The sequence below is a fragment of the Homo sapiens genome, chromosome 8, assembly GCF_000001405.40.
Source record: "Homo sapiens chromosome 8, GRCh38.p14 Primary Assembly".
NCBI classification, from domain to species: Eukaryota; Metazoa; Chordata; class Mammalia; order Primates; family Hominidae; genus Homo; species Homo sapiens.
The window spans coordinates 65661703-65674766 of NC_000008.11; the positions used below are offsets into that span (position 1 = coordinate 65661703).

Genomic DNA, 13064 nt, shown 5'->3' on the forward strand with positions numbered 1-13064 from the left:
CTTGTAATCCTAGCACTTTGGGAAGCCGAGGCGGGAGGATCACTTGAGGTCAGGAGTTCAAGACCAGCCTGGCCAACATGGCAAAACCCCATCTTTACTAAAAATATCAAAATTAGCCAGGCATGGTGGCATATGCCTGCAGTCCCAGCTACTTGGGAGGCTGAGGTGGGAGAATCGCTTGAACTCGAGAGGTGGAGAATGCAATGAGCTGAGATCACACCACTGTACTCCAGCCTGGGCAACAGAGCAAGAGTCCGTCTCAAAACAAACAAACAAACAAAAAGAGCAAAAGCCCTCTCCCTCTCCCTCTCTCTCTCCCTCTCTCTCTCCCTCTCTCTCCCTCTCTCTCTCCCTCTCTCTCTCCCTCTCTTTCCACAGTCTCCCTCTCCCTCTCTTTCCACAGTCTCCCTCTCCCTCTCTTTCCACGGTCTCCCTCTGATGCCGAGCGGAAGCTGGACTGTACTGCTGCCATCTCGGCTCACTGCAACCTCCCTGCCTGATTCTCCTGCCTCAGCCTGCCGAGTGCCTGCGATTGCAGGCGCGCGCCGCCACGCCTGATTGGTTTTCGTATTTTTTTGGTGGAGACGGGATTTCGCTGTGTTGGCCGGGCTGGTCTCCAGCTCCTAACCGCGAGTGATCCGCCAGCCTCGGCCTCCCGAGGTGCCGGGATGGCAGACGGAGTCGCGTTCACTCAGTGCTCAATGGTGCCCAGGCTGGAGTGCAGTGGCGTGATCTGGGCTCGATACAACCTCCACCTCCCAGCTGCCTGCCTTGGCCCCCCAAAGTGCGGAGATTGCAGCCTCTGCCCGGCCGCCACCCCGTCTGGGAAGTGAGGAGCGTCTCTGCCTGGCCGCCCATCGTCTGGGATGTGAGGAGCCTCTCTGCCTGGCTGCCCAGTCTGGGATGTGAGGAGCGTCTCTGCCCGGCCGCCCCATCTGAGAAGTGAGGAGACCCTCTGCCTGGCAACCGCCCCGTCTGAGAAGTGAGGAGCCCCTCCGCCCGGCAGCCACACCGTCTGAGAAGTGAGGAGCCCCTCCGCCCGGCAGCCACCCCGTCTGGGAAGTGAGGAGCGTCTCCGCCCAGCAGCCACCCCGTCCGGGAGGGAGGTGGGGGTCAGCCCCCCGCCCGGCCATCCACCTCGTCCGGAAGGGAGGTGGGGGGGTTAGGCCCCAGCCCGGCCAGCCGCCCCGTCCTGGAGGGAGGTGGGGGGGTCAGCCCCCCGCCTGGCCAGCCACCCCGTCCGGGAGATGAGGGGCGCCTCTGCCCGGCCGCCCCTACTGGGAAGGGAGGAGCCCCTCTGCCCGGCCACCACCCTGTCTGGGAGGTGTACTCAACAGCTCATTGAGAACGGGCCATGATGACAATGGCGGTTTTGTGGAATAGAAAGGGGGGAAAGGTGGGGAAAAGATTGAGATATCGGATGGTTGCCGTGTCTGTGTAGAAAGAGGTAGACATGGGAGACTTTTCATTTTGTTCTATACTAAGAAAAATTCTTCTGCCTTGGGATCCTGTTGATCTGTGACCTTACCCCCAACCCTGTGCTCTCTGAAACATATGCTGTGTCCACTCAGGGTTGAATGGATTAAGGGTGGTGCAAGATGTGCTTTGTTAAACAGATGCTTGAAGGCAGCATGCTCGTTAAGAGTCATCACCACTCTCTAATCTCAAGTACCCAGGGACACAAACACTGTGGAAGGCCGCAGGGTCCTCTGCCTAGGAAAACCAGAGACCTTTGTTCACTTGTTTATCTGCTGACCTTCCCTCCACTATTGTCCTGTGACCCTGCCAAATCCCCCTCTGCGAGAAACACCCAAGAATGATCAATTTAAAAAAAAAAAAAAAAAAGAGCAAAAGACTTAAACAGATACTTCACAAAATAAGATCTCAAAATACCCCCAAAATGTGAAGAAAACCCTAGAATTGCTAAAATAAAAAAGTACTAACAATACCAATTATTACTGACAAAGATGTAGAGTACCTGGAGCTCTCTTAATTACTTGTGGGAGTGTAATTGGTCCAATTACCTTGGGAAATGTTAGGCAGTTTCTTTCCCCCTCCCCTTCCCCTTCCCCTCCCCTCCCTTCCCTTCTCTTCTTCCTTCTTTTTTTTAATTTCTTTTCTTTTTTTTTTTTTTTTTTTTGAGACGGAGCCTCACTCTGTCACCCAGGCTGGAGTGCAGTGGCGCCACCTCGGCTCACTGCAACAACCTCCGCCTCCTGGGCTCAGACGATTCTCCTGGAATAGCTGGGATTGCAGACAGGCACCACCACACCTGGTTAATTTTTGTATTTTTAGTAGAGACGGGGTTTCGCCATGTTGGCCAGGCTGGTCTCGAACTCCTGACCTGAAGTGATCCTCCCACCTCAGCTTTCCAAAGTGTCAGGATTACAGGCGTGAGCCATTGCACCCGGCCATGTTAGGCAGTTTCTATTAAAACTATATATATCCTATGATCTAACAGTTTTATACCTGGGTACTCAAGCGAATGCTCAAGAGAAATGAGCATTTACGTGTACCTTGCTATCTTTGTGTAAGAATTATCTTAGCACTTTTATTTGTAATAGCTAAAAACAGACAGATGAGTACATGAATTGTGTTACAATAATATAATGAAATACTTTACAGCAATGAAAAAGAACTGTAATTTGTAAACAACATGAATGAATCTCACCGTGTTGAATTATAGAAGTCAGAAGGCACAACTAATATATGGTTGCAAATGTTAGAATAGTGGTGGTTAGACAGGCAAGGCATGGATATTGACTCAGTTCTTAAACTGTTTTCTGTCTAGATCTAGGTGGTGGTTACAAAGGTATATACATATATAAAAATTTGCTGGACACTTATGTGTATATTTTTCTGTGTAGGTTATACCTCAATTTAAATAAAAATGATAGGTTTTCCTTTGTTTTTTTTTTTTTTTTTTCTCCATCTCCCAGGCTGGAGTACAGTGGCACAACCTCAGCCCATTGCAACTTTTGCCTCCCGCGTTCAAGCTATTCTCCTGCCTCAGCCTCCCAGGTAGCTGGGATTACAGGCACACACTACCATACCCGGCTATTTTTTGTGGAGATGGGATTTTGCTATGTTGGCCAGGCTAGTCTTGAACTCCTAACCTTAGGTGATCTGCCCACCTTGGCTTCCAAAAGTGCTGGGATTACAGGCGTGAGCCACCGTGCCCCAGCCAAAGAAATATTTGACATTTTAGTTTTTCATGCTTTTAAAAAAAAATTTTTTTTTTTTTTTTTTTTTAGACAGAGTCTTGCTCTGTCACCAGGCCAGAGTACAGTGGCATGATCTCGGCTCACTGCAACCTCTGCCTCCCGGGTTCAAGCCATTCTCCTGCCTCAGCCTCCCAAGTAGCTGGGACTACAGACACGTGCCACCATGCCCAGCTAATTTTTGTATTTTTAGTAGAGACGGGGTTTCACCATGTTAGCCAGTTTGGTCTCGATCTCTTGACCTCATAATCCGCCCACCTCAGCCTCCCAAAGTGCTGGGATTACAGGTATGAGCCACCATGCCTGGGCTTTAATGATAGGTTTTCAAACTCCACATAAAACCATCCTTTCTCCTTGCCTGTTTTTTTGCCAGTTATTTCCAGCTTTGACATCATTTTTGGTTCTTTGCTCTTTTTATTCACCATTGGCTCTCAGAGGATTCATTTATAAAACTGATAATAGATCCTGGTAACATTAAGATATATCTGCCTGATTAAAGATATAGTCACAGACCTTTTTTAGTAATCAATAAATATATATTCCTGCCAGTGCTTAGCACTCTACCACATAGTTTCATCTAGATACACTTCTGTCATCTTAGACTCACCTTCATTAAAGAGTTTTACTCTCCAGCATTTCCTTATATGATAGTCATAATTTCTCTCATCTCCAATCAAAACCTTGGAGTAATTTGATTTTTCTCTTCTTCCTTATCGCGCTAGCCAGCCACTTTATGTTTGTTGTTGTTGTTTTAAAAAGAGATGGGGTCTCGCTTTGTTGACTCTTAACTCCTGAGCTCAAGGGACCCTCCTCCCTCAGCTTCCTGAGTAACTGGGACTTCAGGCATGCAACGTCACACCCAGCTTTACCAGCTACTTTACCAACTTTGGTTAATTCTTTTATTGGCATATTGAATCCATCTATTCTTTTCCATTCCTGTTAGCATTAACCTACTTTTTTAGGATTTTTTACTAAAATGGCTTTATGCATTAATCTCTATTAATTCTTACAACTCTGTGAGTACTGTTCCTATCTAGAGATAACTTGTTAATACTTACCATTTAGTAGGTAGCACAACAAGGGTACAAACTCAAGTCCAGAGCCTTCATACTTCAATATTTTATGTCATTAGCTTTAGAATATAAACGTGTTGAAAGTTGAGTGTAATCACAATATGAAAATATTAAAATAGAAAACACCCAGCTGGGCACAGTGCCTCAGGCCTGTAATCCCAGCACTTTGGGAGGCCAAGGTGGGTGGATCACCTGAGGTCAGGTGTTTGAGACCAGCCTGGCCAACATGGTGAAACCCCATCTCTACTAAAAATACAATAATTAGCTGGGTGTGGTGGCGCATGCCTGTAATCCCAGCTCTCAGGAGGCTGAGGCACGAGAATCACTTGAACCTGGGATGCAGAGGTTGCAGTGAGCTGAGATCGCGCCACTGCAGTCCAGCCTGGGCGATGGAGTGAGACTTTGTCTCAAAACAAAAACAAAAACAAAACGCTCAAAATTTCGAATAGGTTTTTCAAACTACTCCCTTTTTGTTTAGTTACATGGTGTAGTGGATAAAAGCACAGACTTACAGAAACATCTAGTTTGAGTCCTAACTTTGCCACTTATAAACATGTGACCCTTACTCAAGTTATACTAACTATGCTTTAGTTTGCCCCTCTACAAATAGAAGATAATTTGATATCTACCTTAATAAGATGGTTTGTGATAATTGAGACTTTATATGTAATGACTTAATAAGCATAAAAATGTTCCTGATAATCCCGGGTACATAACAAATGTTCTGTGAAGTTAGCTCGTTATTAATATAATTTAGTGGTGTTTGGACATTTTAGCTAAGGGCTCTTGTTTGGAACACCAATAAATAAAGGAGACTAAAAGCATTATTTCACTAATTCAAATATATATCAAAAGTTCTTTTACACTCCCTGGCACCATAATCCCTCCCATTCACTCTGTGCCCCACTTCCCATACCCAGATACACATACTGTATATCTGATAGAATTATACTTATAAAGGTAAGTGAAAAACATATTAGAAAATTAGAATTTTCCGGCCAGACGCGGTGGCTCACACCTTAATCCCAGCACTTTGGGAGGCTGAGGTGGTGGATCGCCTGAGGTGAGGTCAGGAGATTAAAACCAGCCTGACCAACATGGTGAAACCCTGTCTCTACTAAAATACAAAATTACCCGGACATGGTGGTGCATGCCTGTACTCCCAGCCACTTGGGAAGCTGAGGCAGGAGAAGTGCTTGAACCCGTGAGGCAAAGGTTGCAGTGAGCCAAGATTGCACCATTGTACTCCAGCCTGGGTGACAAGAGTGAAACTCCGTCTCAAAAAAAAAAAAGGAAAGTTAGAACTTTCCATCATGTTAAAATTTTCTATAGAGCCAAATGTGTATACTGTTTTTTTTTTTACAGCTTTTCAAAGGATTAAAAAATAATACTTAATTTAAACTTTGGTGAATTCAGCAAACTTTCTTCTTTTTTCTTTTCTTTTTTTTGAGATGTAGTTATGCTCTTGTCACCCAGGCTGGAGTTCAGTGGCGTGATCTCAGCTCACTGCAACCTCTGCATTCCGGGTTCAAGCGATTTTCCTGCCTCAGCCTCCCAAGTAGCTGGGATTACAGGTGTATGCTACCATGCCCAGCTAATTTTTGTATTTTTAGTAGAGATGGGGTTTCACCATGTTGGCCAGGCTGGTCTTGAACTCCTGACTTCAGGCAATCTTCCTGCCTTGGCCTCCAGAGTGTTGGAATTACAGGTGTGAGCCACCACACCTGGCCAAATTCAGCAAACTTTCTAAAACAACTATTCTACCATATTGAGTCAAACTCTTCTACCTAGGTTCAAGGTTTGTCTAATAGGATTTATGTTTCTTTTTCCCTTTTTCCCAATATAAGCTTTTAGCTCAGATTCTCATATGAACTCACACCCTGTTATACTTCATCCTGTTTTCCCCCACTGCTGTTCATTTTTACCCATGATGCTCATCCTCCTTTCATTAGCGCCCAGCTCTTTTCAGTTTATTTTCACCCAGCACTTGGCATATTTGTGGCACCTTTACTTTTTCTTCCTATTCTCTGTTGTTATCTATAAAGCTCTTCTCACAACGTAGACCACAAACTGTTTCTGGTCATGATGAGATAAAGGGCTTACATCACTATGTAAATCAACTATGGCATACAGCATACTGTTTGGTTTAGCTGACTTTTTGAGCAAGATTTTCTTTTTTTTTTTTTTCTTTTTTTTTTTGAGAGGGAGTCTTGCTCTGTCACCCAGGCTAGAGTGTAGTGGCGTGATCTCAGCTCACTGCAACCCCCACCTCCCGGGATCAAGTGATTTTCCTGCCTCAGCCTCCTGAGTAGCTGGGATTACAGGCGTGCTCCACCACACCCAGCTAATTTTTTTTTTTTTTTGTACTTTTAATAGAGATGGGATTTTACTATGTTGGCCAGGTTGGTCTCAAACTCCTGACCTCAAGTGATCCGCCCGCCTCAGCCCCCCAAAATGCTGGGATTACAGACATGAGCCACCGCACCCAGCCTTTAAGGAAGATTTTCTTTTTTTTGTTTTTCTTTTTTCTTTTTTTTTTTTTTTTTAAGACGGAGTCACTCTGTTGCCCAGGTTTGAGTGCAGTGGCGCTATTTGCATCCTCCGCCTACTGGCTTCAAGCGATTCTCCTGCCCCAGCCTCCCAAGTAGCTGGGATTACAGGTTCCTGCTACCACGCCCAGCTAACTTTTGTATTTTTATTAGAGTTGGAGTTTCATCATGTTGGCCAGGCTGGTCTCAAACTCCTGACCTCAAGCAATCCGCCTCCCTTGGCATCCCAAAGTGCTGGGATTACAGATGTGAACCACCACGCCCGGCCTTAAGCAAGTTTTTATTGATGAGAGAGCAGTGTATTGATTCATGTTCTGGTGCAAACTCCTTTATCTTGTTAGAGACCAACACTTCCAGTAAACTCGTCTATACCATACAAGTTAACATTGTAATTCTGTCAGATATACAGTAGATTGATGGGGAGTGGGGCAGAGAATGAATGGCAGGGGTTATGGTGCTAGTGAATATTAAAAGACTTTATTCATTGGTTTTGGCCTTTCAGCATCTGAATTTCTGTTCTGTATTTCTGGAATTCATTCCTTTATGATTTTTGGTGGGAAGCTTAACCTGCTTGTTACAATAGCCAGGTACTTGCTTTGTCAGCCTCCCTTTTGCTACGACACGTGAGCTGTGGACTTGGTCTAGCAAATGGACCAGTACAGACAGCATCTTTGGAGTTGGGGACATGGAAAAGGAGGAACTGCGTGGACCCTGTCTGTGGTGGTAGTAGCAAATGCAGTGGTGTTTTCCCAGGGCCAAGTCTGCTGCAGTTTTGAACGTCCTTGGTTGTGTAGCCTATAAATTAGTTTCTCTGAAGATTATTATCCACCAGATATCTTTTCATAAATGTATTTTTTACTTAAATTAGCCATACTAGGTTTTTGTTGCTTCCAGCTAAGAATACTGACTGAAAAAAATACAAAAGAAAACAAAACACCTTATACTGTTACAGTTACTTTAAGCAAGCTGATCACAAGCAAATCTTGTTTTCTCTTAAATTACACATGAAGGTTTTTTTTTTTTTGAGACAGAGTCTCGCTCTGTCACCCAGGCTGGAGTACAATGGCGCGATCTTGGCTCACCGCAACCTCCGCCTCCTGGGTTCAAGCGATTCTCCTGCCTCGGCCTCCTGAGTAGCTGGGATTACAGGCATGCACCGCCACGCCCGGCTAATTTTGTATTTTTAGTAGAGATGGGGTTTCTCCATGTTGGTCAGGCTGCACATGAAGTTTTAAAAATGTTTTAGGCTTGCTCTGTGAGACATGTAGACAGTACAAATTCTAAATAATAATGATTTCATTTTAGTATTTGCATTTTAAATTTTCAGTGTGTTTTATGGACCATGTGCTGCTATGTATGCCTGAAGAAGTACTTGAAATGCAAATTTGGGGAGACTTTGCCATATAAATGCTTGGCTGGATTAAGCGCCTAATTAGGATGGTTTTTCAACAAGTTGGAGTAAGCATGCAATCGGTGAGTGCTCAAAATTCATTTTTTAAATCCCGACATTTAGATATTTTAAGAATTTTTTCTGAGAAAATGAAATAAATCTATATATGACCAACATCTTGAATTCAATATGTTTATGTACTGTTTAATTTGCTTTCTATTTAAATCATAGAAGTGAATCTTTTCTCAGCATCTGAAGTAAGGAAGTAACTTTCTGGGTTACATTGAAAACTTACCAGTATTCATGTGACCATTAAGAGCAATATATTTGTTATTAGTGAGGAAAAGGCTTAAATAAGCAGAAAAATCATTGCATAAAATATGCTTGGCCAACACTTGACAGCGCTCTTAATGTTGTAGAATCATTAACATTGAATGCTGTTATAATGTGTTTAAACAACACAGTTGTTTAAAAGGTAAGTTATGTCTCTTAAAAATAACAACTATTGATAAGAAGAAAAAAAAGTTACTATAATGATTGTTCTATGCTAGAGATATTAGTTTTTACCTTGACATTTTTTATAAGTATTTTCTACTGATATATAAAGTTTGTTTAGACCTATAAATTATTAGAGCAAGTATTGTGCCAAGTACATTTTGTAGAATATTTTGTTTTACATTTTGAAATTCATTTTTTTTCATGGCTATGACATAGAATTAAATTTTATTTATTGAAGATACAGGCAGGTTACATAATTTGAATGTGGGTATACTTTTTTTTTTTTTTGAACAGGGAGTCTTGCTGTATTGCCCAGGCTGGAGTACAGTGGAGCAATCTCGGCTCACTGCAACCTCTGCCTCCCAGGTTCAAACAATTCTCCTGCCTCAGCTCCCCGAGTAGCTGGGATTACAGGCTCACACCACCACGGCCAGCTAATTTTTGTATTTTTTAGTAGAGATGGGGTTCCACTATGTTGGCCAGGCTGGTCTTGAACCCCTGACTGCCCACCCTGGCCTCCCAGAGTGCTGGGATTATAGACGTGGACCACTGTGCCTGGCAGAATATGGGTATACTTTTTAGTGCACTTTTACTTTTTTGTTTTTGTGCCTGAACTTTGAATCTCCCCAACTTCCAAGGTTACATCTGTTTTCTTCGGAGATTAAAAAGTAGAGAACCAAATAAAATTATCTTTGTTTATAGCTGCATAATTTTGAGATTATTAGCTTGAGGATAAGCAATAGGAAAATGACTTGTAAATTTATTGGTATTTTCATATCTTTCAGATATATGTTGCTATGTTTTAAATTTCACTTAGTGGCCAGTCGCAGTGCTCAGGCCTGTAATCCCAGCACTTTGGGAGACAGAGGCAGGAGGATGGCTGGAGCCTAGGAATTCGAGACCATCCTGGGCAATATAGTGAGACCCTATCTCTACAAAAAATTTAAAAAATTTAGCTGGGCATGGTGACACGTACCTCTAGTCCCAGCTATTCGGGAGGCTGAGGTGGGAGGATTGCTTGAGCCTGACAGGCAGAGGTTGCAGTAAGCTGAGATTGTGCCACTGTACTCCAGCCTGAGCAATAGAATAGAGCAAGACCCTATCTTTAAAAAAAAAAAAAAAAAAAAGAACTTCACTTAGCTCAGTTTTATCATAGTGTGGATTGACATTTTAGTAATGACAGCAAAAGTTTCTTTTTCTCTTGCTTGCACAAGGAAGGGAAGTTTTTGTTATTTATGATTTCCAAAAACCAAAGCTTTATAATTTCTATTTATTGTAATTTTAGTAAGAAGTATAGTTTAATGGTAAGATTGTGGGTCCTGGATTTAAACACACTTGAATCTGAAATTTGTCTCTGTCAGTTATTGCCTTCGTCTGCAAAGTAGCTGTAAGAATTGCTACTGCTATAAGAATTGTTACCTGTGGATTAAATGACAGAGTATGTAAAGCATCTAGCACAGTGGCTTGTACAGTGTAGATACATTCAATAATAGTTTCTTAGATTTTTGCTGTTACCAGCCTCCCACCCCAAGACAGGTCAATATGAGTAGTGCTAATTGAGGCCAAAGTGCAGAATTCTGTTTCAGGCACAGATAGCACGCTTTATTTAGCTTGTTCACTTTAAGCTGGAAAGTGGGTGCCGTTCATCAAAGAATGGACCAGCTAAAGGAGGATTAACTTGCTCAAAATATTGTAATTACAACTGAGAGTCCTTCCTACTAATGGTGGATTAGCAAGATCTATTTTTAACTTATTGAAGCTAGCATATAATCGTAAACTTTAATCAGTTAGCTGAAAATTCATATAAAACCAAATTTTCTTCTAACATAAAGCAATGTGATCTTTTGGGGTTAACTAATTTCCAGTATTTTTTAGCTTGTTGCCTAAGAATAAAAATACAAAGGAATCTTTCAAGATTTTATATTTGGGCACCAGAAAATAAAAGAAGCTTTCTTAGCTCTACCTTTCAGTGATTAACATGTATTTTCCCATTGATCTGATATATACAGGCATAGCTTGGAGATACTATGAATTTCATTTCAGATCACCACAATAAAGTGATAGTGAAATACAGTGAATCACTTTTTTTTTTTCTTTGAGACAGTCTCACTCTGTTGCCCAGGCTGGAGTACAGTGGCGCAGTCTTGGCTCATTGTAACCTCTGCCTTCTGGGTTCAGGTGATTCTCCTGCCTCAGCCTCCCAAGTAGCTGAGATTACAGGTGTGTGCCATCACACCAGGCTAATTTTTTAATATTTTTAGTAGAGATGGGGTTTCACCATGTTAGCACTTGATGCTTCTTCATCTTGCACTTTTATGTTATAGAGATGGCTTTTTTCCTTATGCCTCATTAACCAACTTCTGCTAGCTTCAACTTTTCTTTTGTAGCTTCCTTGCTTCTCTCAGCCTTCACAGAATTGAAGAGAATTAGAACCTTGCTCTGGATTAGGCTTTGGCTTAAGGGAATGTTGTGGCTGGTTTGATATTTATTTTCTCTATGTCAGAAATAAGGCCTTCTTGCTTTCTTATCATTCATGTGTTCACTGTAGTAGCACTTTAAATTTCCTTCAAGAACTTTTCCTTTGCATTCACAACTTGGCTAACTATTTGGGCCAGAGACCTAGTTTTCAGCCTGTCTGGACTTTGAACATGCCTTCTTCACTAAGCTTAATACTTTCTAACTTTTGATTTAAAGTGAGAGACATGCAGTGCTTCTTTTCACTTGAACACTTGGAGATCATTGTAGCGTTAAACTGGCCTAATTCCAGTGTTGTTTTGACTCAGAATAGGGAGGTCTGAGATTGCGGAATAGCTGGTGGGTGGAACAGTCAAAAAACACATAACATTTATCGATTAAGTTTGCCATCTTACATGTGCTTGGTTCATGGCACCCCAAAACAATTAAAGTAGTAACAAATAACGTCAAAGATCACCACTGATCATGATCACCATAATAGATATAATAAGAATGCATAAGTCAGGGCCTGGCCTGTAGAGGGGTGGGGGGCAAGGGAAGGGGGAGCATTAGGACAATGCATGCGTTGTCCTGATGCATGTGGGGCTTAAAACCTGGATGACGGGTTGATGGGTGCAGCAAACCACCATGGCACATGTATACCTATTTAACAAACCTGCACGTTCTGCACATGTATCCCAGAACTTAAAGTATAATTAAAAAAAAAAAAAATAGGCCAGGCATCGTGGCTCACACCTGTAATCCCAGCACTTTGGGAGGCCGAGGCGGGTGGATCACAAGGTCAGGAGTTCAAGACCAGCCTGGCCAATATGGTGAAACCCCATCTCTACTAAAAATACAAAAATCAACCAGGCATGATGGTGGGTGCCTGCCTGTAGTCCCAGCTACTCAGGAGGCTGAGGCAGGAGAATCGCTTGAACCCAGGAGGCGGAGTTTGCAGTGAGCCGAGATTGTGCCACTGCACTCCAGCCTGGGCAACAGAGCAAGACCCCGTCTCAAAAAAAAAATAGTAATGCATAAGTTTGAAATATTGTGTGAATCATCAAAACATGACACAGACATGAAGTGAGCACATGCTGTTGGAGAAATGGCGTCAGTAGACTTGGCTTGACACAAGGTTGCCACAAACCTTAAATTTGTAAAAAGAACAATATCTCTGAATTGCAGGAAAGTGAAATGCATTCCCAGCTAATTTTGTATCTTTAGTAGGGATGGGGTTTCACCATGTTGGCCAGGCTGGTCTTGAACGCCTGACCTCAGGTGATCCACCCACGTTGGCCTCCCAAAGTTCTGGGATTACAGGCGTGAGCCACTGCGTCCGTCCTTTTAAATGAATTTGATACTGTGCTTTAAAGCATTCCAAGAGTGAAAACTACCTTCATCCTTTATTTTATCTTTTTTTTTTTTTTTTAAAGAAAAAAAGGCTGGCACGGTGGTTCATGCCTGTAATCCCAGCACTTTGGGAGGCTAAGGTGGGAGGATCACTGGAGTTCAGGAGTTTGAAGCCAGCCTGGATAATACAGTGAGACACGATCTCTACAAAAATTACAAAAATTAGCCGGGCATGGTGGTGTATGCCTGTAGTCCCAGCTACTTGGTAGGCTGAGGTGGGAGGATCACTTGACCCTGGGAGGCAGAGATTGCAGTCAACTGAGATCATGCCACTGCACTCCAGCGTAGACTATAAGAGTGAGACCCTGCTTCCAAAAAATAAAAAATAAAAAGAAGAAATTGCAAGCTTTTAGATTAGATTTTGTTTTGTTTCATTTTTCCCATTAGAACAGCCAGTGGTGATTGGCTCATTGTCTTTGACTCTGCACACTAATATTACTGTAATAGCCATCCCTGCTTGGCTTAC

General features: G+C 42.8%; 1 protein-coding gene across 28 annotated transcripts in view; it reads left to right on the forward strand.

Annotated features, from left to right (window-relative positions):
- MTFR1 (mitochondrial fission regulator 1) overlaps nt 1–13064 on the forward strand; it is a 134710-nt gene that overhangs the window by 17814 nt on the left and 103832 nt on the right. For 20 of the 28 annotated variants that reach the window (NR_182101.1, NR_182102.1, NR_182100.1 and 17 more), the window contains one exon: nt 8171–8316. Coding sequence is in view for 23 of the 28 variants with exons in the window: in XM_006716484.3 (XP_006716547.2) it covers nt 8251–8316 (66 nt within the window). In the remaining 5 variants the exon portion in view is untranslated. Of the gene's footprint in view, nt 1–447; nt 1107–8148; nt 8317–13064 lie in introns of those variants that run through there. The other 8 variants (NM_001413078.1, NM_001413070.1, NM_001413080.1 and 5 more) reach the window with 8 other exon arrangements.